This window comes from Homo sapiens, chromosome 4, assembly GCF_000001405.40.
Source record: "Homo sapiens chromosome 4, GRCh38.p14 Primary Assembly".
Classification (NCBI taxonomy): Eukaryota; Metazoa; Chordata; class Mammalia; order Primates; family Hominidae; genus Homo; species Homo sapiens.
Genome location: NC_000004.12, coordinates 27,695,390 through 27,721,872, shown reverse-complemented (window position 1 = coordinate 27,721,872; position 26,483 = coordinate 27,695,390). Strand labels below are relative to the sequence as shown.

The 26,483-nt window shown below is 37.5% G+C and overlaps 1 long non-coding RNA gene across 2 annotated transcripts in view, besides 1 other annotated feature; it reads right to left on the bottom strand.

Moving 5' to 3' along the window:
* Positions 1-2,623: 2,623 nt before the first annotated feature.
* LOC105374548 (uncharacterized) overlaps positions 2,624-26,483 on the bottom strand; it is a 49,283-nt gene continuing 25,423 nt past the window's right edge. Inside the window, exons 3-5 of one of the 2 annotated variants that reach the window (XR_925517.2) lie at positions 24,483-24,593; positions 18,319-18,440; positions 2,624-3,191 (exon numbers count right to left, since the gene is read on the bottom strand). This is a non-coding gene — a long non-coding RNA (uncharacterized LOC105374548). The remainder of the gene's footprint in view (positions 3,192-18,318; positions 18,441-24,482; positions 24,594-26,483) is intronic. The other variant, XR_925518.2, reaches the window with a different exon arrangement.
* Positions 25,292-25,586: an enhancer, noted in NCBI's record as "tiled region #11222; HepG2 Activating DNase matched - State 9:DNaseU, and K562 Activating non-DNase unmatched - State 24:Quies". NCBI's record gives its function as "activates a minimal TATA promoter and a strong SV40 promoter by Sharpr-MPRA in HepG2 and K562 cells {active_cell/tissue: HepG2 | K562}" and the evidence as "EXISTENCE:reporter gene assay evidence [ECO:0000049][PMID:27701403]".

Genomic DNA, 26,483 nt, shown 5'->3' with positions numbered 1-26,483 from the left:
TAAGGAGATATTTTTCAAACTGAGTGTTTTAGAAGCCAAGGTATAGAAACCAGTGAGAGGTGAAGCTAGCTGGACTTCCTGGGTTGAGTGGGGACTTGGAGAACTTTTCTGTCTAGCTAGAGGATTGTAAATGTACCAATCAGCACTCTGTGTCTAGCTAAAGGATTGTAAACACACCAATCAGCACTCTGTGAAAATGCACCAATCAGCACTCTGTAAAATGGACCAATGAGCAGGACGTGGGCAGGGCCAAATAAGGGAATAAAAACTGGCCACCTGAGCCAGCAGCGCAACCCGGTCAGGTCCCCTTCCATGCTGTAGAAGCTTTGTTGTTTTGCTCTTCACAATAAATCTTGCTGCTGCTCACTCTTCGTGTCTGCACTACTTTTAAGAGCTGTAACACTCACTGCGAAGGTCTGTGGCTTCACTCCTAAAGTGAGCGTGAGACCACGAACCCACCGGAAGGAAGAAACTCTGTACACATCTGAACATCTGAAGGAACAAACTCCAGACACACCATCTTTAAGAGCCATAACACTCACCTTGAAGGTCTGTGGCTTCATTCTTGAAGTCAGCGAGAGCAAGTACCCACAGGAAGGAACCAATTCTGGACACACTAGGACTGAATAAAAGCCAGACTTCAGTGTTAAAGACTTAATCTAAATAATGAATGCTAGAGGCTTAAAGGTTTGCAAAGGTTATTCTAATTGTGTTTCAAAAACAAATACATTTGTATTTTAATATAATTGGTTAAACAGAAAAACAAACCAGAAAAAAAACTCACCAGTTTTTCTAGTTTCTGTCACTCTTTTTACTTGACATTTGTATCAAATGTTGGACTTGCCCCATTATGTGGGTGAAGTACTAGCCTCTGATTTCAGATTGAAAATTATGTCCTTTTTTTCTCCACAAAGAAGGAACTAGAAGGGATCATTTATTTTAAAAATACTAGCTTCGGGGGGAGGGGGTAGGGATAGCATTAGGAGATATACCTAATGCTAAATGACGAGTTAATGGGTGCAGCACACCAGCATGGCACACGTATACATATGTAACTAACCTGCACATTGTGCACATGTACCCTAAAACTTAAAGTATAATAATTAAAAAGAAAAAAAAGAAAAAAAAAACTAGCTTCACACTCAGGAAATCATGAACATCAGATTATTTAAAAAAATTACTTAATGTCTCAACTGCAGTGCTAACTTAGGTAGGTTATGTGTTATTTAAAGCCTTACTCATTTCAGAAATGAACAAAGGAAAGATACTATGAAAGCTACTAGAGTTTTTTTCTTACTCTAATTTTGGGTGATACTCACTTTAGAACTTTGTTTTGCATAATGATCTTTCTATCAGTCTCTTAGATGATGAATAGACCCAGAGATGATAAAACCGCTTTTGTATCAAGAATTAGCCAACAACACAAGTGGTGACCAGAGTAATTTATTACTGTATATTACAACTTAATAAAATAAAATTGGTTTAAGTCATCTCTCCCACCTCCTGCAAAAAGCAATGAGAGGGAGGAATGGAGATGCTCTCATACATTCTAAATCTGGCTATAGGGCAGACTTCATGTAAAGCTTGATTTAGCAACTCATGTGACAACACCAAGCAACCATTGGTTTTCTGTTATCTTGCTCTGTAATCATTCTCCCCGCCTCACCCAGTTCTCTAGCAATAGTGACTGCATCAGTTAACCATTGCCATTTAATAAACCACCACAAAACTATGTGGCTTAAAAGACAACAATTTGTAATAACTGCCATTCTGACTGGCGTGAAATGGTATCTTCTTGTGGTTTCGATTCACATTTCTCTAAAGATCAGTGATGTTGAGTTTTTTTTCATATGTTTGTTCACCACATGAATGTCTTATTGTGAGAAATGTCTCTTTATGTCCTTTGCCCACAGTTTAATGGGGTTGTTTTTTTCTCATAACTTTGTTTAAATTCCTCATAGACTCTGGATATTAGACCTTTGTCAGATGGATAGATTGCAAAAATGTTCTCTCATTCTGAAAAGAATGCTTTTACACTCTTGGTGGGAGTGTAAATTAGTTCAACCATTGTGGATGACAGTGTGGTGATTCCTCAAAGATCTAAAGGCAGAAATACCATTTGAGCCAGCAATCCCATTACTGGGTATATACCTAAAGGAATATAAATCATTCTATTATAAGGACACATGCATGCGTATGTTCATTGCAGCGCTATTCAAAATAGCAAAGACATGGAACCAACCTAAATGCCCATCAATGACAGATTGGATAAAGAAAATACGGTACATATACACCATGAAATACTATGCAGCCATAAAAAAGAATGAGATTGTGTACTTTTCAGGGACATGGATGAAGCTGGAAGCCGCTATCCTCAGCAAACTAACACAGGAACAGAAAACCAAACACCACATGCTCTTGCTTATGAGTGGGAACTGAACAATGAGAACACATGGACACATGTGAGAGAACAATACACACTGGGGCCTGTCGGGGGAAGGGATGGGAGGAAAGACAACACAAGGAAGAATAGCTATTGGATGCTGCACTTAATACCAAGGTGATGGGTTGATCTGTACAGCAAACCACCATGGTACACCTTCACCTATGTAACAAACCAGCACATCTTGCACATGTACCCCAGAACTTAAAATAAAAGCTGAAGGAAAAAAAAAAGACTTGTTATTTCTCACAAGAATGTTGGCTGGCTGTGCTTTCTCCATAGCACTCACTCATGTAGCTTCATTAAGCTCAGGATCAGCTGGGTCGGAAGATGCAAGATGGCCAGACTCGTAGGTCTGACAGTTGAAGCTGGCCGTCTTCTTGATCACTGTGGATCTTTTTTCCTCATGGTGTATCAGTCTCCAGCTGACTAGACTGGCTTCCTTTTGTGGTAGTCTTTGGCTAGAGTTCCCAAAGAGTAAAAATCGAAGGCTTACAATTGCATAATGTCATTCTTTCATCTTCTATTGGTCAAAGCAAGTGAAAACACAGCCTAGACGCAAGAGGTGGGGAAAGAGCTTCCATGTCTTGATGAAAGCTGTGAAAAAGTCACACTGTAAAGGCACATGGTCACAGAGAACTTTGATTTTTCCTTCCACAATGTCCAAATAGTTACTTTATTTGCAAACCTCATATTTCTATAGAACACCATACTATCCAATAAATGCCAATGCATATTTTGGTAGTACCTGCAGAAAAAGAGAGAGGGAGATCAATTTTATTCCAGGAGCTCTAGCAAATATTCATCCCAAACTTGGTGACTGGAAAATGGTCCATAAGCCAATTTGGCCCAAACCATTCAGTTAGGAGTTGAGTCAATAGCACTAAATGGAAATGGTTGACCACTAGAAGTGGTGTTTTATCAAAGCCAGATTAGGATAAATATTCCAGAATAAGGAAGACCATATGCTGGATCTCAAAACCAAAAGAAGTTCACTGCACAGTGGTATGAAATGTAAGTGAAAACTTTATCCCAAATCTCTCAACAAATACATTAGAGCATTTTCTATCATATCATTCCCTCTCTTTTGTTAATATTTTTCATTTGAAATTAGGGCAATATACATTTAGAACCATCATCCTCCATTTACTATTGATATGACCTTAAGCAAGCCGATTATCCTCTCTGAACCTCAGCTTCCTCAAACAGTAAGAGCAATAATCATGATAAGGATGTTGAAGGAATTAAGTGAGATAACCTGTGTTAAGTAATTAGCAGATTGTCTTGCACCTTGGAAACACCTCCCAAATGATAGGTGCTGCCATCGGTATCAACAACATTGTTATCAGCAAGCCTGTTAAAAAGCACAGAATACCAGGTAGCAAGATTTTCATGCCTGTGTTATGCTAAACCAATTCTTATAAATGCAAATCTATAAACACATATGACACTCCAGGGCTTCTAAAGAACTTTTTATAACTATAGATATGAGCATAATGTAAGTACATAGCATCACTTACTGTAAATCTGTACATTTGATATGTACTCACAAAATTATTTATAAAGAACCAGGGAGTAGTGCAGCTTAGAAAGCTTAAAGATGACCTAGATTGTATACCTCAAAAATTCTAAATTGGCCAAAATGGCCTTAAGGAGCACTGAATGAGAACTTTTCTATGAATTTAAACTTCAAATATACGCATGCTTTTTGATTACACATTTCTATGTCATATCTCACGTGGCCTTATACCGGATTTAAAACAAAACAAAACCAAAAAACAGAAATGGGATAGGGCTGACAGCCAAGTTTAACTCTAGCTGAAGATCTTGTTTATTCTTTCACTTCCCAATTTTCCAAATTTTACTTGATCTTAGTTTCTGGCTTTCACCCCTCTCGATTTAATTATTGAGTTTTGAGAATCTGTTTTTCAAGTAACTTAACAGCTGAAAGCCTTTCACTTTTGATTACACTTACTTGTGGGATAAAGATATGTCTTGGTAGCTTTATCCTCAGGCTCTTATTCCTTTCCAGTGGCCAGCGCTACTCAAAAGTATGAGAGCAGCTTGCATTAGTACTAAGATGCAAGTTCTCTCATTGCCTTGGAGACACACAGGCAATTTATGATCATTTGTTACGAAGAGGCTCTGCCATTTCTCTCAGCCAGAAGGAAAATAGCATTGCCTCCTCAATTGCATCTCAAGGACTCAGCTAATGCAGCCCTGGTGCTCTTCTCTGGATAGAAATGTCTACAAAGGCTTTGAGAGCTCAGATCAAGTATTTTCTCTGTCAGCCACCAAAGGCATTCTGCCCCCTGCCTGCCACAATTACAGGGCTTTCTAGCCAGCAGAAGTAGGCAATCTGAAATTTCTTCTCATGCTCCTGTCAATATTGAACTATGGATTGTCTGAAAAAGAGTCATTCTTTTCCCTTAGTGGCTGGAGTACATTTTGAAGGGCCTGTAACCCTCTGTGTCAATCTGGGACATGAGGCTTACAGCTCCTCTATTCCTAGTCATTAATGACCCCCCACAACTTCCTACACAAAATTGCTGCCTCACTGCTGCGGAGAGAGAGAAGGAACTTCTTCCAGTATGTGGATGTCTTCCAGAGGAAAAGACAACAGCAAAAGAGCTAATAAGAAAAAAAAAAGTGGCAAAGTGGATTCTACAGCATAAGTGGTTATTATAGCAATGAAGTCTAGAGAAAGAAGATTCTGCACTCATATCTATTAGTGAGGAGGGCACTAATAATAGAGCTGACCACCCTTGAGTGCTTTGATTTTTTTCATTCTCCAATATAAAGCTATCCAAGGTTGAATTAAAGTTTCCCAGAACTGTGGATTGAGAAAGGAGTAGAGGAACACCTCAATGTATACAGTAATTTTCCTCTAGTTAGTTCAACTTCTTCAAGGCATTATTTATTAAACAGTAACCCAGTCATTCTGTATAATCTAGAAAGACAATGCTGACAGGTGTGAGATTCAGGAGCCAACATCATGAAAGGTAGTGTGGCTTACTCCTGCAGAGTAGAGTCAACTCGAAGAGGTTAACTAAGAGTGAGCAGAGCAATATGAAAAAAGCCTGTGTCTCTGTTATCCATCATTAGTTATACAGGATTTCCAACTTATGTAACAATGAGACCAGTTAAGTGGTGGTGTACACTTTAAACATTTGATTGCTGTAATTGCTAGCCTGTTCTATAACTGCCACGTATTAAGCTAATCACTTGAGGAAAAAGTTATCTTTATGAATTCTCACAAATATAAAAATTGAAATAATATATTCTCCATATTTTTTTCAAATTGATAAAACAAGATCAACCCCTAGTCCTTTAAGTTGTACTAATATAAATAATAATAGAGTCTAGGAGCTACCGAAAGGAAAAAGTAGAGGACAATAAAAATCTTTCACATAAATGAGAATGCAAAACCTTAAAAACTATGTTCAAACAAAGAAAATGACCTCTCATTATTGTTGAGTTTTATCTGCTTCTTATAACACAAGAGGAAGCAGGAACTCATCTTGAGGGTTATTGGTGAGATGTCCCAATTTCAGGTCAAATATTTATGGGATAACTAGGCAAAGGAAAAGAAGGAGAAGCCAGACACCTTGCATTCCAGGAGCTTATAATCTAATAGAGGCCACCAAATGCCAACAATCATCAACAGCAAGTGTATAAATAAATACATTATAATCAAGGTATAAGTAAGCAAGGTACAGGGTAAAAATAAAGGAGTCATTAATTGGGCCTGGCACGGTGGCTCACACCTGTAATCCCAGCACTTTGGGAGGCCAAGGCAGATGGATCATGAGGTCAAGAGATCGAGACCATCCTGGTCAACACGGTGAAACCCCATCTCTACTAAAAATACAAAAATTAGCTGGGTGTGGTGGCAGGCGCCTGTAGTCCCAGCTATTTGGGAGGCTGCGGCAGGAAAATTGCTTGAACCCGGGCGGCGGAGGTTGCAGTGAGCCGAGATCGTGCCTCTGCACTCTAGCCTGGCAACAGAGTGAGACTCTATCTAAAAAGAAAAAAAAAAAAAAGTAATTGATTCTAAATGGGGATATATGGAAATGCTTCACTGAGGATATAGACTCTTCAATGTAGAACAAGATTTCTACATGAGCAAAGACATTGCAAATACAGCAGAATGAGAAAGCAGACATAAGGAAATGTACATGGTTATGCACATACAGGCCCCAGGGAAATAATGGTGTGTAGAGGAGAGTGAGAGAAGCCTAGGTCATGCAAAAGGTACCTTCAGACAGCAGCTAAATCATGAGGGCCTTAATTCAGAGACATCAGATGTATTACATATAGCCTATTTTTTTAAACTGTGGTAAGATATACATAACGTAACCTTTACCAATTTAATCATTTTTAAGTGGATAGTTGAATATCATTAAGTACATTCAAGTTTTTGTGAAATCATTACCATCATGTTTGTCCAGGACTTTTTTTTATCTTTTTTTGTGCAATCATTTTATCTTTTTTTGTGCAATCATTACCATCATGTTTGTCCAGGACTTTTTTTTTATCTTTCCAAACTGTAACTCTCTACCAACTTGTATTAGTCTGTTTTCATGCTGCTGATGAAGACATATCTGAGACTGAGCAATTTACAAAACAAATAAGTTTATTGGACTTACAGTTCCACATGGCTGGAGAGGCCTCACAATCATGGTGGAAGGAGAAAGGCATGTCTCACATGGTGGCAAACAAAAGAGCTTGTGCAGGGAAATTCCCGTTTTTTAAAACCATCAGATTTCATGAGACTTATTCAGTATCACAAGAACAGCATGGGAAAGACCCATCCCATGATTCAGTTATCTCCCACCAGGTCTCTCCCACAACACATGGAAATTATGGAAGCTATAAGATGAGATTTGGGTGGGGACACAGAGCCAAACCATATCACCATTAAGTAGTAACTCTCAGTTTTCTCCTTCTTCTGGCCCCAGCAACCACCATTCTACTTTCTGTTGCTATGGATTTGAATATGCTAGGTAACAAATATAAGTGAATCATACAGTATTTGTCTTTTGTGTCTGACTCATTTCACTTTGTATAATGTCTTCAATTCAAGGCTCATCTGCATTGTAGCATGTGTCATAATTTCATTTATTTTTAAGGCTGAATAATGTCTCATTGTATGTACAGACTACATTGTGTTTATCTATTCCTCTGCCCATGGACACTTGGCTTGCTTCCAGCTTTTGGCTATTGTAAATAATGCTGCTATAAACTTGAGTGTACACACGTGTGTTTGAATCCCTGGTTTCACTTTTGAGGATATGCCCAGGGTTGGAATTGCTGAAATACATGATAATTCTATTTTCAATTTTTTGAAGAAACACCATATTATTTCCTATAGTGGCTGCACCATTTTACATTTCCACCAATAGTGCACATTCATCACATTTGCAACAACATCTTTTCAGTCAAGCCTTATTCTGGGTGTGTCTGTAAAGGTATTTTTTGACAAGGTTAACATTAGATTTGGTGGACTAGATAAACAGATTATCCTGCCTAATATGAATGGGGTTCACCCAATCAGTAGAAGGCTTGAACAGAACAAAAAGATTGGCCTTCCCACAAGTAAGCAGGAACTCCTCCTGTTTAATTTCTTGAGGTGGGACATCAGTCTTTTCCCTTCTTCAGACTTGAACTGAAACATCAGCTCTTTTTGTGTCTCAAGCCAGCCAACTTTCAGGCTGAAACTTATACCATCAACCCTCTTCACTCTCTAGTTGCTGACTGTAGATTTTCAGAATTCTCAGCCAATTCTTCATAATAAATTGCTCACTCTCTGTCCTCTCTAGATAGATAGATAGATAGATAGATAGATAGATAGATAGATAGATAGATAGATCTACTGCTTCTATATCTCTATAGAACTCTGACTAATTCTCCTTCCATTAAGGAGTAAGGGATAAGCAGAGGATAAAAAAGGAAGTTAAGAATAAAGACACATTCTGTTAAATATAGTGTCATAAAAGGCAAGAAAGGTTATGGTTTCAAGGAATAATATAGTCTATAATATTAAAACTACTGAATGGTCAAGAAGAACAAAAGCAAGAAGATTGGACCATTGAATATATATGAATGATTATTTAAGAGTACTCTCAGTGGAATAGTGCGGCCAGAATTGGACTGAAGTGGACCAAGGAATGAGTAGTAAAGAAGAAATTGAAGAATAGCTTAATCAAGGAAGAGAATCAACCTTCATTTTGGCACTTGAGAGGCTTTAGTATATAAAGAAGTAGAGATATAAAATGATAGCAAGAGGAAAATATGTCATCCTAGAGGATACCTAACAGCAGGGAAACCAAAAAATGCATAATTACGAGTCTTGAGGAAGTCATAAGATGAAACATAGAAAAGAATAGGAATTTATTTGGGGGAAGGCTTTTTTAGGGAAAATTTAAAATCACATATAACAGGCATGGGAGTCAAACATACAACTTTAATTTTTAAAAAAACTTTCCCCAAATCAGAGAAATCATATAAAGTTACAAAGCTGCAATAAAACCAAATTTTTTAAAAAACTAATATATCAAATAATTTTCAGTAATTATTTTATGGAAATGACAGAGCTTTACACATCATGCCAATGATGCCTCAGAATTAATTCAGGAAGGTAGACTTGTGTTTCTATCTTAAATACTAGAAATGAAATTGGAGGGTAAAGAATCTGCCTGGAGTTGGAGAATTGGGAATATAGCCTTGTTTAAGTCATACAGAAGGGAATCCTCTTTTTAATAAAACTACGATGTTCCAAAAGTTGGTATTTTCTGGGGGATGGAGAATACAGTAGAATATATTGGTGATTTACTGCAGATTGATAACCAATAAATTAACAAATATTTATAGTATACCTGTTATTGCACATAGGGGTTGGAAAAAGGGGGATTGGCACATGAAAGATAAGATTAAGAAATAGCTGTTGTTGATGGAATTCGTGATATATTCTTCCACTTTGCATTATTCAGGGAGTTAATATATTCATCATCCCTTCCCACTTTTCATAACCACTCTTTTCCACATGATGGGTATTATAGCTCTTCTCTTACTTTTTTCCTTACTTTTTTTTCTCTTACAATTTTTGTTTAATTTAATTAAATTATTTATTTGTTTGCTTGTTTATTATTTATTTGTTTGTTTGAGATGGAGTTTCACTCTTGTTGTCCAGGCTGGAGTGCAATGGTACAATCTTGGCTAACTGCAACCTCTGCCTCATGGGTTCAAGTGATTCTCCTGCCTCAGCCTCCCGAGTAGCTGAGATTACACGAGCCTGCCACCATGCCTGGATAATTTTTGTATTTTTAGTAGAGACTACGTTTCACCATGTTGGTCAGGCTGGTCTCGAACTCCTGACCTCTGGTGATCCACCTGTCTCGGCCTCCCAAAGTGCTGGGATTACAGGCTTGAGCCACCCTGCCCAGCCCATTTTTGTTTAATTTTATAGCACTTTATTTCTCATATACACAAACTTTCTTTTATGACATAGCACATTCTATCAAGTATTACAGTTATTTAAGCTTAGATTTATTGTTAATCTGATTGAAAGGAATTTTAAGTACCCCAAAGTGCTCAGCAAGTGCATACATGAAGGCTAAAATGAATGTTGAATTAATGAAAGAATGAGGACATTCATCGAGGACAATTTAGATGTTTGTTTGAATTCTATTAGATTGTCTCAACCTGCTCACAAATGCAACCAACAAGCAAAACATGTATAAAAATGCCATTAACAGTAAGACACCAATAGAATAAATAACAAAGAAAAATTAGAAGGAAACTGAGAACTATAACAATGTCATCAGTCATTTAAGAAAGTTTCAGTTAAAATTGACAAAAATATCAGCATTGCTGGATTAGCAATGTAACAGTAGAAGAATCAACATGTTCCTGAAAACAATGAGGATCAAAAGTTAAAGAAGTCAACAAAGAATAATTAGAAGTTAACTGTATGTGAGTAAAATAGTTTCTGGTATTTTCCTAAGTTTCAACTTAGGTAGCAGGCACCGCCACTCTCTGGAATCAAAGCCATTTATCATCCATGAACAACTACCAGCAAGAGCATCACCAGGGACAAGCTGAGATGGTGTTTTTACTGCGCCTGGGTTTTCGTATAAAAGTATTGAATATGTCTGGACTGTGGAGAGTTGCTAAGCTCAGTGTCAAGGGAAAAGCTCCATCATATTAGTAGTGATGCTATCTCTGTTATTGAAGTCTGTTATAGTCCAGAAGAGTCAGGAAGGAGAGATGCAAGTAGCTGCAGTTGCAGACAAATTAGAATTTGGTTTTAAGGGGCCCCATGTTACTGACCTTGTAATTTCCACATGACAGCCTAATTTAGGCCAGAGTTTTTTAAGAGTCCCAAGATCATAACTTAAATCCTCACAGGAAAATGTACATGTGTTTTCAAAAAAATACACACACATACAGATAGACATGGATGGATGGATGGATGGATGGATGGATGGATGGATGGACGGACGGACAGACGGACGGACAGATAGATAGACAGATAGATTAAAACTACAACTCTGTTCTTTTCTTTTTAAAATCAGATTGGAATGTAGTCCCACTGACAACATATACGGAGAAACAGCCATAAATGTATAATGAGAAGCTGACTGTGCACATAGAAAAACCTGCATACATCCACCAGAGAAAGGGGATGTTCCGAGTTTGGTGAAGTAACTTGCAATTCTCTGAGGTTGAGGGCACATTTCAGAATTTTTCAAAGGGCATATCCAAATGTACCACTGGCTGTGATAGGGTAAAGGATCGGCATCCTTCATGAGAGTGTAATGAGCTGTTCACACGCTCCACTAGAGCCTAATACGGCAAATGAATGGGCTTGCTTGCAAGCACTAAACAGGCTGGATGGAATAAAGTGACAGTGAATTTTCTCATTGATAGACAGTGGGTCTCTGTTTTCTTCACTCAGACACAGTCTCTCTTGCAAGGTAACAGGAATCTGCTTTGGTATAGCTTCCTTTAATCAGAGCGCAGCTGCAGAATCTGTTTTGAGATTCTGCTATGGCAGGGATGTGTGTTGTGTTTTCTAGAATAAATTTCTGACTATTCATATGCACCTGATACCCACACACAGGCCTCTACCACCCATCTCCACCACTGCCACACACACACACAGGCTTGCCAAGGCTGAGGGTCAAAAGGATTAGTTTTGCTTAGCCAGGTGTGCTTGTGTGGGGTAGGGATGAAAGTTGGAATTAATTCTTTTTCATAGTCTCTGAATATTTAAGTTTGAACATCAGCAAGAGAGAGCTTTGAGCTAACAGTGAATTCTTAAACTCAGTAAGGAGAAATTCATTCCTTAATTTGAGAGATGCAATGCCAACCTCAGTGCCAAGAAAAGAAGTAGAGATGGCAAACAGGAATGTAATACAGAGTTGTTACAAAGGCTTACTACTGTGATCCAATACGCTTTCCCTTCCATATTTTTATGGTAATTTTAAGCATACAAATTGAAACAGTTTTGCAATAAACATTCACACATAAAACTAACCAACCACTGCCTAAAACTAACATTTTTCTATACTTGACTTACCACATATCTGTCTCTCCATCCCTCTATTTACCCATTACTCCATTTGGGAAAGTACTTTTTAGCAAGTTTCAGACATTAGTAAATTTTTTCCTAAATACTCATGCATGGATATTATTTGCAACACTTTACTATTTGTTTTTTTTTATTTTTCAGGTAAAACTTACATATGCTGAAATATATATATATTTCAAGTATATATATGACTGTATATATATGTATATATACAGTCTTGTAAAAAATGCAACCTAAATAAAAAATATATAAACATCATTTCACATTGCCTTTTCCCAATCTCCTCCCCTAAGTCCAAAGAGTAACCACTGTTGTTTTTTATTTTATCCACCAAATATTAAATTGCCTGTTTTACAACTTTACTGAAAGAAAGTAATAAATGTTGTGCTCCTTTGTATAAGACTTCTTGTGGTAGGCAAATAATGGCCCTCCAAAATGTCCACATCGTAATTCCCAGAACCTATGAACACAATGGTACACTGCAAAGAGGAACTAAAGGAGCAGAAGGAATTATGGGTGCTAATCAACTGAACTTAAAATAAAATTATTCTGGATTATCTGGGTTGGCACAATGCAATCAAAAGTGTCTTTAAATGTAGAAAACAGAATCAGAACTGGAGAGCTGGCATCATAAGAAAGACTTGACCAAATATTGCTGGGCTTTCGAAGTTGAAGACGGCTGTAAACCCAGGAACGATGGTAGCCTCAGGAAGCTAACCTTTAGAAGGGAACATAGTTGCCAACACAATTGATTTCAGTCCTGTCAGACCCATTTTGGACTTCTGACCTCTACTACTGTAAGATAATACATTTCTGCAATTTATGATACCAAGTTTGTGGCAATTTATTACATGCGCAATAAGAAACTAATGTGCTTTTTTTACTCAGCAAAATGTTTTTGGAGTTCATCCACATTATTGTATGTATTAACATGAGCTGTTTGTCTCTTTCTGTTGCTGAATAGTATTCCATTTTGTTCATGTCCCTGTTGATGGGCACTCAGACTGTTTCCAGTTGTAGACTGTAATGACTAGGTCATAATTTGTGCATTCTTAAAACACTAGCACTTGGTAGAGCTGTGCGGGATGTGTTCAAGGATTCACTACCTGTGACCTCCTCTCACAGTGACCAGCATCTGATCTGTTCAGTGGCCAAGGGAGGCCACCAGTTAAGAAGCTGGAAATATACAACTATAACCTAGTGACAGAAACTTTTACCAAGCTCTGATCGAATATTTCAGGAATATCCTTCGAGGGCAGAAGCTGCCCTCACATGGAGCAGGCTGTGGAGACTTTGGGATTCTGAAGTGTCTGCCTCTCTCCATACGCCCAGGGAAGTCATACTGGAAGGGGAAGGCAGCCAGTCCTACTGTGTATTTTCCCAAGAAATGCCTTCAGCGAATAACCACTAATCGTATTGGTTGTTATTAGTAAACATTGATGTATCATCTGAGCCAGCACAACCTGGTTCCAGATGATTAACTTTTAAGGCTTACTTTTCTCATCTGTGAAATAAGGATAAAACTAGTCAAACTCACACAGTTATTCTAAGGAGTAGGAATAATAATGTAAATAAAAGAGCCTCATAAAATATGTATAATAAGCTGCTACTGTCCTAAATTTTTCTAAGCCCAACACAGGACAATATTTGTTTTCTATTTCTAGGAAAGTATTTTATAGAAACATTAAAGCCAGGGAATATGTTTATTAATTCATCAGGTATTGATTGAGCATAGGCTAGGCCCTAGAGGTTTCTAAGGTTATAAAGATTTATTGGACTCAACTCTTTTTACTCAGGAGTCTAGTGAGGAAGACAAAGAAGCAAACATCATCATGCAACTATCATTTGGCATGATCACTATGAGAAAGGCGACAGGGGATCCTGGGGGCACATAAGAGGGCACCTAGCCAAGTCAGGGAAGAACCTCCAGCAAGATTCTAGAGATGTTCCTGAACTCAATAGAAGCAGCGAATCAAGGATAGGATAAGTGGGAAGGAGAATGAGGGGGCAGTAGAAGAGTCAGGAAAAGCCCACTTTGTGGCCAGACGAGAGACTATAGCGGTTTAGATAAGCTAACACATCATATAGATGTGCACACTAGCTTGAAATTCCAGAGTCAAGTGCAGTCACAGGCAGGAATGAATAATATGGATTTCCAAGTTTATAGGTTTTCAAGTCATAAAAACTGGAAATCATATGACAATTTGGCTGCCCATCAGTTGTCTGGCCTGGAGGAAAATAAACTATTATTTTAAGCCTAAATATCTTCTTTTTTAAAAGAAGTATGAGATGATCTAAGAGTATCCAACAGCATTGTTGAAGATTTGTAACACATTTAGCAGAGGGATTGATACATGCTAAACTCTAAAACAATGTAATCTTTCCACATTTCTTCCCTTTTCATTTTCTGTAATATCACAAATATTCTAAAGAAATGCATATTGATACCATTTTGTTCCCAGCAGTGGAATCAATTGAGAACAAATACGTATCTACAGATTAGAATATACAACTGGCTGTTATTGAAAGGGAAGACAATATCCCTCTCTAACATTTTCACAGAGATAGTACAAACAGAATCTCAATCACTGAATCGAAGGGCTTTATTTAGTGGCCAATGTAAGGAAAACAGCAGCCCAAAGTTAATTAAAAATTACAAAAGGACAAAGTGTTGTAAAATAGTGAATAATCTTGTCTTCTATGAATGGTTGGGTTTGGGGAAGAAAGGGTTCCTACTAACATTAAAAGAGGTCCAGTGTTCCCAGAAGAAAGACCAATGACTTCATAAAATATATTTGTGTACCTGAGACAGACAAATATATGTTGTGGAAAAAATATGTGCATACTAATAAAACTAATGTTCATGTGTAGTATTGATAGGGATGGAGCCAGGTACCTATACTATTTGGGCATCTTCTTTAAGAAAACAAATAACCAAATTACAAACTCAAAATTAGGTATGTGTATTAGTTTCCTACCACTACAGTAATAAACAGCAATAAACTAATTTTTTATGTAACACAAATTTATTATATTACAGTCCTGGAGATCAGAAGTCCAAAATGGATATCACTGGGTAAAATCAAGGCATTGGCACCTCTCTGGAGACTCTATGGGGAAATTCATATTCTTGCTTTTTTCACCTTCTAGAGGCAACCTGAATTCCATGGTTTATGGTGCCCTTCTGTCTCAAAACCAGTAAGAGCTGGTTGAGTCTCAAAACATCACTCTCGCATTGATTCCTCTGCCTCCCTTACTCACATTTAAGGAAATTCTGATTACATTGTGCCCCCCACCACAAATAATCCAGGATAATTTCTCTATGTTAAGGTAAGTTGATTGACAACCATAACTCCGTCTGCAACTTTAATTCCTTTCTGCCCTGTACCCTAGCATATTCATAAATTCTGAGTACTGGGACATGGATATCTTTGGGAGGCCATTATTTTGCAAGCCACAGTACAAAATGAATATTTGGAATGAGAAAATGAATTCTATTATATCACCAACTATTTGATATTCAAGTCCTTTTTCTGTGACAATTTACAAGAAATGTTAATCTAGAAATACTTCCGACTAAACGTGGCTTTTTCTCCTCACCTGCAATACTCTACAAGTCCCAATAACGTCTAATACTCATAGGATGCATTAAATGAGAGACCCTAAAGCTAATCTCCTTTGGCCACATCATTAACCTGCTTCTGAGAATTAAAAAATGTCACTTCAGATATAATGCTCAGTCTCAAAATGCATCCTTTATAAAAGGTATGACTGTAGTACATTAATGATATTGACAGATAAAATTATTTTGTTTTATAAGATCAGTTTTATGAATAAATACAGGTTTCCAGTATTAGAAAAGCATTCAAATTCTTCTCAATATAAAATTAGCTTTCTTCCAGTAAATCTTTTATTTACTCATATTATATCACATCAAATTTAGACAATAGAATAACTTTTTAAGGAAAAATATGCTGTTTTTTACATTGTTTGCATCATAGGCTATACATGGGAAACTATATGAAGTATGTTTAAAGTTTAGGATGTAATCTCATCTTTTAGGCTTGACAAGAAATAGAAAAATGCTTCTCATTTCTAACCCAAATGTGCAATAAAGAAGACATCTCTTTATTCTACCTTTAAAAGACAAGCCATCCTTTAGTACAGTTACCCATAATGATTTTTCTGGAATTCTGACTTCAGAATGACTCCATCTGCTTCCTAGAAAGAAGCTTGGTGACATGGCATTGATCTCTGGGAAAATGTCAATTTGTGGTTCCTTCTACTGTTCTGTTCCAGACTAGGGGAAATAGCTTGAAAGAAACTGAAGGAATATTATTCAGCCTTTAAAAAGAAAGAAATCCTGTCTTTTGTAACAATATGGATGAACCTAAAAGACATTATGCTAAGTGGCGTACCCCAAAGACAGAAAGACAAATACCACATGACCTCACTTATATGTGGAATCTAAAAAAGTCAAGCTCATAGAACACAGAGTAGATGGTAATTGCCAGGGTCGGAGGAGCAGGGAAATAGGGAGATACTAATCAAAGGGTACAAAAGTTCAGTTAGGCAGGAAGAATAAGACCTGGAGATCTAACGTATAGCATGGTGAATACAGTTAAAAATATCGTGTCATTTACTTGAAATTTGCCAACAGAGTAATCTTAAGTGTTCTCATGACACACCCACACACACAAAAATGATAGCTATGTGAGGTGATAGTCTATTAATTAGCTTGATTGTGGTAATCATTTCACAATGTAAACATGTATCAGAACATCACATTGTACCTCATAAATATATACCATTTGTATTTGTCAAATGTACTTGAAGAAAGCTAGAAAAAAGTATAATAAATAAATTATATGGAAAAACAGTGTAATGGTTACTATTGTCAACTTGACTGAATTGAAGGATGCAAAGTATTGTTTCTGGGTATGTCTGTGAGGGGGTTGCCAGAGGAGATCAACATTTGAGTCAGTGGACAGGGAAAGGCAGACCACCATCTAATTGGCTGCCAGTGCAGCTAGAAAAAGCAGGCAGGGCTGGGCGCGGTGGCTCGCGCCTGTAATCCCAGCACTTTGGGAGGCCGAGGCGGGCAGATCACAAGGTCAGGAGATCGAGACCATCTTGGCTAACACGGTGAAACCCCGTCTCTACTAAAAATTACAAAAAATTACCTGGGCACAGTGGCGGGCGCCTGTAGTCCCAGCTACTCGGGAGGCTGAGGCAGGAGAATGGCGTGAACCTGGGAGGCGGAGCTTGCAGTGAGCCGAGATTGTGCCACTGCAATCCGGCCTGGGCTAAAGAGCGGGACTCCGTCTCAAAAAAAAAAAAAAGAAAAGAAAAAAAAAGAAAAAGCAGGCAGAAGGTGGAATGAGCAGACTTGCTGAGTCTTCCAGCCCTCATCTTTCTCCCATGCTGGATGCTTTCTGCCCTCAAACTTCAAGACTCCCAAGTTCATTGGCTTCTCGACTCTTGGACTTACGCCAGTGGTTTGCCAGGGGCTCTCAGGCCTTCAGCCACAGACTGAAGGCTGCACTCTCGGCTTCCCTACTTTTGAGGTTTTAGGACTTGAGCTGAGCCACTACTGGCTTTCTTGCTCCTCAGCTTGCAGATGGCCTACTGTGGGACTTCACTTTGTGACTGTGTGAGTCAATTCTTCTTAATAAACTCCCTTTCATATATACATATATCCTATTAGTTCTGTTCCTCTAGAGAACCCTGACTAATACAAACAGTCAAACAGATCTTTGCTTGGGAACAACTATAACCGTAGTCATTCACTTTTACAGGAGACAAAGAACTGCTGCCATTCCAGGAGTGCTTGCCACGTACTAGGCTACGAATTTATGTTCCTTATCTTGTTTGGTCTCCATAACAATACTGGAAGAAAAGTACTATCTCTATTTTCTTACGCAAATTTACTTGTAATGGTAATACTCATTCTTCATGTTTCTCATATCTGAAAAGATAACCTGTGTTGGAATGGCAGAAAGATGTTCCTGTTCTCCAAGAGGTTTCCTAAGCAGTTTCCTTGTCCTCAGCCACAAAGTGTCAAGACTATTGGATTGGGTTTGAAAGGCAGAAGCACTAGTTATTAAGTGTGAGGCATTTGAAGGGGATGTGAAAATATACTACCATTTAAAATGATTATTGTGACTTCTGTTATATTACGTTTCCTCTCATCTGGTTACAGACCTAAAGGAAAGTGGATATTCAGAGAGAGTTCACGACTATTAAACATCTTGACTTTAAAGATTGTGTTGTTACCTACATGGAGACTACAAACATTTTTTTATTGCTCTTCAACTCAATATAAATCAGTCTTTTGCTGATTCTCTTCATTTCCATCCAGTCCTAGAGCAACCTGTAGAATACGCCATTATTGTCTTCTCCCTGCCAAGGAAGAACAGTTTGCAGTGGGATATAAGATTTTGGAGACACACTTGGGAAGACCACAGCCTCCTTCCTGTAGCCATCATGGCACTGATGGTTTTGAATGCTGAATACGGTTCTAAAACTCAAAGCTCAAAAATAGACCCAGGAAAGGAGAATGTATGAAGTTCCCCTGGGGATTAGATAAAGCCATTCTGCCACCTGGTGGTCCAGCACCTGCTATCCAACAAAGCAAATGGGAAATCAGAAAAGGGGCAGAACTGGGTTTGTAAGAAAACTTGTCATTCCTTTACTCCCAGGAGCACTTGGGAGACTATTCTGCAGCCAGAATTTTCGTGACCATTATATGTGTAAAGACGATTTTCTTATGCACATAACAAAGCCAGAAGCTAACTTCTTCCAGAGTGCAACAGACAATATAATGTCAGCCAGAGAGTGTTCACAGAAATCTGGTTGCATAGGTGTTGAAAGGAACTAGAGGTCCTTATATTACAGATGCAGTGATTGAAGTCTAGACAGTCAGAGTGACTCATTTAACTCAGAAGGGGTGGAAACCACATTTCTGGAAGCCCAGTTAGAAATCACACTGCAGGGCATCCTATAGAGCTTTACCTTTTAGGGCACGCAGCTTGCACCCGTGTTTGTTTAGTATAAAGTGCTTTGTCTCTGTGCAGCTGCAGAATTAATATTATGCAATAAATACTGCCTACTGCTGTACTGCACATCCACTGGTAATTAAAAGAGGAACAATAGATAAACTGCAAGAAATCACTTAGAATTTGTAGAAATAGAATCAATAGATCCAGCTGAATATAATGAGCTCAGATTCATTCAAAAAAATAGCATTGGGGGAAATCCAAATGTAATATATTTTTATGTAATGATTCTTATAATTGTATATTTAATAATACACAATGAAGCCTTTTGTTTCCATTTAACATAAAGTCATAAAATATTTGGCTCATAAAAGCATTAAGATGAGGAAATTAGAGACAGGGAAAAATAAGCCCTTTGTTTTTTAAAAGCATTCTTTTGTTTTTCTTTCTGGTTGTGAATCTGTCCCCCGAACTCACTGCTGCTTCATTTAAATTTTTTTCTGCGCTCTCAAATGCCTCACTTGAAACTTCCCATCATGTTTAAAAACAAATGGAGTTGCTGCTTAATTCATTTTGCTTTCCAGGGAGTAAAGGAAATGAAAATTAAAAGTGGTTTTGCCACCGGTAAAGAATGCTAGAATGCAGAGGTTTTGATGGCAATATTACAAAAAAAAATTGTATTTCCATGTTTGCTATTCATCTTTCTAAAACACCTCTTCTCATCTGCTTCAGATGTCAATATTGTAAAAATCTGAGATAACTGATTTATACACTCTGCATTTTTGGTCACCCAGTACTGGCACTGTATTTAGAGGTCCCACTGTGATTATGAGCTTCTCAAGGGTTGGAGCCATGTTTATCTTATTCAACTGCATGGTTTACTATCTACCATGCTTGTCATAGATTGGATGCTTATTAAATATCTGCTCAATTAATTGTTGCAGTTTATAACATCATCTGAAGCAATTATGTTCTGTGGCCAGACTCTAGCCAAAGCCTTTGGCTGGGAATCTCAGACATAAACATGAATAGTCTCGGAATGAGCAGAGGCGGGAGGTTGTAAAAAGGATTGACACTAGACTTCATGGGTTGAATTCTAGGTCACATTGTACTAGCAATGTGTCTATGTGTTACTTAACTCTGTATGAGTTACCTAATGTCTGTAAACTACAGTTTGTGCTATGTCAAAACAGAGAAAATACTAATATCTGCCTCACACGATTTTCAAGATGAAATATCATCTTTTCCCAAACAGTTTAGTACAGTGTCTGGCACTGGAAGTTAGCACTCCTCATATGTTAATTCATTGATATTGCTACACTGTTTTAGTTTACTATTGCTGTTATAACAAATCACCATAACTTCATGGCTTAAACACAATACAAATTTGTGATCTTACCGTTCTGGTAGCCAGAAGTCAAAAATGAGTCTCAAAGGGTAAAATTCAAGGTGTCAGCATGGTTTGTTCCATCTGGACGCTCCAGGGGAGAATTGATTCTTTGCCTTTTTCAGCTTCTAGAAGCTACTACTTTCCTTGGTTCCTGGTAGCACTACTCCAATCTCTACTTCCATCATCACATCCTCTTTTCCATCTTCTTGTCTCCGTTTTAGAAGAACCCTTGTGAGTATTACATTTGGGCCTAACCAGCTAATCCAGGGGAACATCCCATCTCAAGATCCTTAATTAATCACACCTACAAAGTCTCTTACTAGGTCAGGTAACAAATTCACAGGTTCTGGGAATTCAAACATTGACATTTGTAAGGACCTTATTAAGCCTACCACATATACCAACATTATCAGGAATTTCTTAAATTCAGAGACTTTTCACAAATCTTTTAATTCCCAGTAGTAGTTTTTCTCTTCAAAATTACCTAACCAGGGAATTATTGCCTTTTTGTGGGCTTTATTTGTTGCTTAATTTGTTTAACTGAATTTGGCCAAACCTCAGGAAATTGAAGATTTTAGTATGCTAAATCTGAGACTGGGGGAGGCCTCCCAGGATTTGTATATTTTTCAAAAGTCCCATGAGTTATTTTGAATTTAGTCAATTTTCATTAAATAAATATATAATAATGTTTTAGGAGCTGCATACTTTTTGATATCTCACCACACTATATACTGGAAAACAAAATAAAAATGTAGTAAACATGACAAAGGAATTGCTTTCTTAAACTGCAAAAATCTTCACAAATAAAGTACTAAGGAAACAAATTTGAGTGTAAGATAAGGAAACAATAACATGAAGGTGAATTGTTACCACTGGGAAGAATATTTGCCAGTGTTTAGAAATGTTTGCTTTGTTTGTCTAAACCAATTATTAATTTGGCACATTTAAAAATGCATTTCTCCCCGGACCACCTGTGATGGTTAATTTTACGTGTCAACTTGACTGGGCCATTCTCCTCCTGTCTCTTTTTAAATTGGCAGGCAAACTTTTTCTGCCTAGTGAGTCAGTGGAGATGAGAACATTAATTTATTTGAGTGTATGTATGTCAACGCTGCTTGAAGAAAACGTGCCAGTGTGGTCTCAACATGTGAAACATTTTAGGTCATTCTATTCTCACATTTGCCCCCTAAAGCGCTGTTCAAGTTATGTATTCAACATACTGATGAGAAACACATTCTGCTATTTAATAATGAAGAAGAAGAGTGAAACAGAGAAGCACTGAGCTGAAGAGGAGGACACAGGTGTCCCAATCCAATTTGACCATTAGCTAGCTCTTAGATCTCTGAAAAATACATGCAACCTCTCAGTCTTTCAATATCTTTAGATGCTAAAGGCAGACTATGTCTTCAGTTGTACCTGAGGTCATTTCTATTTGCAAAGTGTTATGATTACAACCTGATTTTAAATGTAAGTCCAGACCTCCTTACAATAACAGCAATAAACATATGGTGCTTACAATGTGCTTGATAAAGTTTGGAGTGTTTTATAATGTTAAATTGTTAAATTTCACAAAATCCTGTGGGATAGTTATTACTATTTTTCTCACTTTACAGATGAAAAAACTGGGTCATAGAAATTTATATAACTTTTCCAAGGTCATAGAACTGAGATTTGAGTCTTTGAAGTCTAGCTCCAAAGGCTTTTCTTCCTTGTTCTACCATATTTGAGTATTTTTTAAATTTCCGTGTAAACCCAAATATTAAGTAATGAGAATTTAGGGTCACAAAAAATGAGTTTAATACACTTTTGATATCATTCTATCTTTACCATTGTACATAGCTCCATACTCGTATGACTTTAGTTCAATTTGGCATTTTGTTCTAATTTCTATAAATATCTTCCCTGTCTGCTCTGTTGCCCAGTGTCTCATAAGCAAAATTATTAATGATTCAATTGCCTTTATGGGAAAATGATTGAAAAGTCACCTTGAGAACATGAAATATGATCAGATGCTAAATGATAACAGTCAAGGCAGGAGTCTCTTGATCGAACTTGAGTAAGTGCTGTGCTTATGGTTGAACACCAGTTATCTTTCTCATCATTTGCTCAGCTAAAATCTTCTGGAGACCAGAGACAACTGGTGAGGACCAAACGAATAAGTGAAGTTGAAGTGGACATTACTATAGTCACATTATAATAAGAAAACAGGAGTTCAGAAGGTTTGAATACTCTTAGCATTGAAATATGTGTAGGCCAGAATTTGTAGAAGACAAATTTTTTTTTTTTTTGGAATGAGTGTTATTTCCCCAATGCCACAACTGTCTATCCAGCAAAACTTGGGAGAAACTTTGCACTTATCACTCAATAAAGAACCAAGTTACAGTGGCCAGGTTTCTAAACATGAAGAAACATAATGTATTATTTGTGGATGTGAGATACACAGATCATTTACATTAACTTTATTAGCTGTCATTCCCCTAGGCTCAAATGGTTACATCATTCTTTTGTCTGTGTACAATGGATGCACGAATTCTTATTAGCAATGATGTCCTTACTGAACCAGCCTTAAGAAGGTTGTTTGATAATCACCAAATTAACTTCAGAAATTCACTTATTTTCATGCAGAGCTTGTGAGTTTGTTTGCTTTTTTCATTTTAATGATGTTTACTGCTTATTTTATTGTTTTCACCTATGATCTGACACTATCGACTCTTCTGCTCTAATCTCTACATTAAGAAAATGTGGCACATATACACTATGGAATACTATGCAGCCATAAAAAATGATGAGTTCATGTCCTTTGTAGGGACATGAATGAAGCTGGAAACCATCATTCTCAGCAAACTATCTCAAGGACAAAAAACCAAACACCGCATGTTCTCACTCATAGGTGGGAACTGAACAATGAGAACACATGGAGACAGGAAGGGGGACATCACACACCGGGCCTGCTGTTGGGTGGGGGGAGGGTGGAGGGATAGCATTAGGAGATATATCTAATGCTAAATGATGAGTTAATGGGTGTAGCACACCAACATGGCACATGTATACATATGTAACACACCTGCACGTTGTGCACATGTACCCTAAAACTTAAAGTATAATAATAATAAAATTTTTTAAAAAAAGAACATCTCTTCCTATTCATCCTTAAAATATCTTAAATAATATTTTCTCAAAAACTTCTCTTACCTACTTATGCTTTATTATTACCGTAATTTAAAAAAATTAGTATCTATTTCTCCCCACTAGACTTTAAACTTCATGGCGATATGAATTGTCTCAGTTTTGCTCACAAAAATAGCCCCATGGCTAAGCCTAAAGAGAGGAGAGTATGGGAACACCTCGACCCTTTGGACATGCTCTCTTACCAGACTGTTGGTTAGGATTAGAGTATGTGTGTGTGTTGGACTTCCTCATTTTTTAGAATGAGGCTCTCTAAGGTACAAACTTTCTGTCTCTTATTACAGTGCATTTACTGAGACGATCTCTGTTCTCAGCAAGGCAGTCTATCACTTGGGGTAGGTAAATTTAATTAACAAAGGACAGAATTTAAAAGTGCCACAATGAGCACACAATTAGATTCTTTCCTCCAATTTAGCTGTTCCAATAATAAAGCTGCCGTTTTAATATTCACCTGGCAATTTATGTGTTTACTGTCTTCAATTTGTACATAACACTGGAGGAAGGAAAAACATATTAATTATGTCCTGGGACCTTAAAATTTAAATATACTGGTATGTTGGCTTGGAACATTGAAAGAGCCAGCAATGGGTTGATGTTGTATGAAACAAAGTGTCATGTGGATAAATTGATGCTTCAAGTGTGGCTCCAGTTCTTGACTTTTAGGATCATAGCAGCTTACTGCAGTGGATGTCTATGGTGTTTAGCAGCTATTTTAAAAGTAGCACAGGGCTCAGTAAATACATCTCACACAGACTTTTGTAGCTGACTTTGACTGATGGAGGTGCAGGCTTGACCTACGCAGGAATAAGTGAGATAGGGATTCGACTGTATGAAGGGAAAGGGAGTCTTTTCGTTTCAGTTAAGGCTCACCTGATACAGGCTTTCCAGGACTCAAGGGGTGAATTTTTTTTTCCTTGTAGTGTTTCTTGACATCAACTGGCTGAGGCTTCCATCTGCAAAGGCAGTTAAGATCCATGTAGGCTGTAAAATGAGTGGGTGAGATTTTAGCCTTTATATTGTCAGCGTTTAACAACAATAGAGGCTAATACTTTAGCTATTTGAAATTCCTTCCTCTTGCCACACTTCAAAGGGCATACAATTCCAAAAAGAGTGAAGATGAGACATACCAAGAGCTAATCTCTTGGACTCATGTGCCATGTTTATACTGTTAAGAGCCACTTTCTACAATATAGTTTCAAATTGACTCTGATTTGGTAACTGAATAGGCTGTAACTGTGGCATAAGATTTCCAAGGTACAGACTAAGACTGAATTGATCCATAAAAGGATGGTTGATTTAATTAATCAACAGATAATCAAGCGGTGAGGAGAGAGGCATACTGCACTGGAAATGGCTCTTATTTGAACCTAGGCTTAAGGAATATTGAAGGAGACTATCACAAAGTTAAAACCATAAATTCAACAATGGAATGTTTTAAGCTTCATTCATCTTAGAAATAAAGTTTGCAGATAATATGAAAAAAATTCAAGAGTTAAATATAGGGGGATTGAAATGTCATAAATGATTATGTCTCAGGAAATGGTTTTACCTTTACAAAGAGAAAAGAGCATATTTTCAAGAAATCAAGAAATAAAGGCCGGGCACGGTGGCTCACGCCCGTAATCCCAGCACTTTGAGAGGCCGAGGTGGGTGGATCACCTGAGGTTAGCAGCTCGAGACCTGCCTGGCCAACATGGTGAAAACCCATCTCTACTAAAAATACAAAAAAAATTAACCAGGCTTGGTGACTCATGCCTGTAGTCCCACCTACTTGGGAGGCTGAAGCAGGAGAATGACCTGAACCCAGGAGGCAAAGGTTGCAGTGAGCCGAGATTGCATCATTGCTCTCCGGCCTGGGTGACAGAGCGAGACTCTGTCTCAAAAAAAAAAAAAACAGAAAAAAAAAAAAAGAAAAAAGGAAGAAAAAAGAAATACAGGGATCTACCTGAGAGCTATCTTGAGGTCTTTACCACCAAATCAGAATTAGATGAAAGGAAAAATGAGCTACATGTATACCAAATGCTCTTCACTTGTATTAATAACAGTAAAACTTCTTAGCAGTGAACTTGAGTGACCTCCCTAGAAGGAACTCATCTTCAAGAAAGCATTGAGAAGCATCATAATATAAGAGCAGATGGGAGGCCTGTAGCAACAGCAATTAGGAAACCATTTCATGAACACTGGAAAAGTCATATGAAGCCATTATGGATTATTCAAACCTTTGAGGGGAGAAACTAGACAGATCATAAAGCACTTTAAGCGCTATCAGGTTTGTTTCAAAGGAAGATCATTGCAGTAGTTGAAAATAGAGATACTGCTCCACCACTACCACAAGTTGATTCCAAAGAGTTTTTAAGGACTTACTATTTGTCAGGTGCTGCTCTTGTTCCCAGGTATGTATGTATGTGTGTGTGTGTGTATATATATATATATATATATATATCTCCAATTCCAATTCATATATATATATATATATATATATATATGAGGAAAGATGACAAATCTCTATACCCATGGGACTTACATCTTAAAGGAACAGACGATAGAAAATAAATATCATGTAAATGACAAGTTCATGGGTGCAGCACACCAACACGACACATGTACACCTATGTAACAAAACTGCACGTTGTGCACATGTAACCCAGAACTTAAAGTATAATTAAAAATATATATTCCAACAACAAAAGAGGTGGACAAAATGAAACAACAAACGTCGACAACTGTTTAGGTTGGTCAATGGGTAAATAAAGGGCCATAAGCTAATAAATAAATACATAAATAAATAGGTGAATATGTAGAGAGAGTGACAAATAGTAAGGAAAACAAGAGACCAGGGAAGAATAAGAAGTGTCCACCTAGGGAAGAATT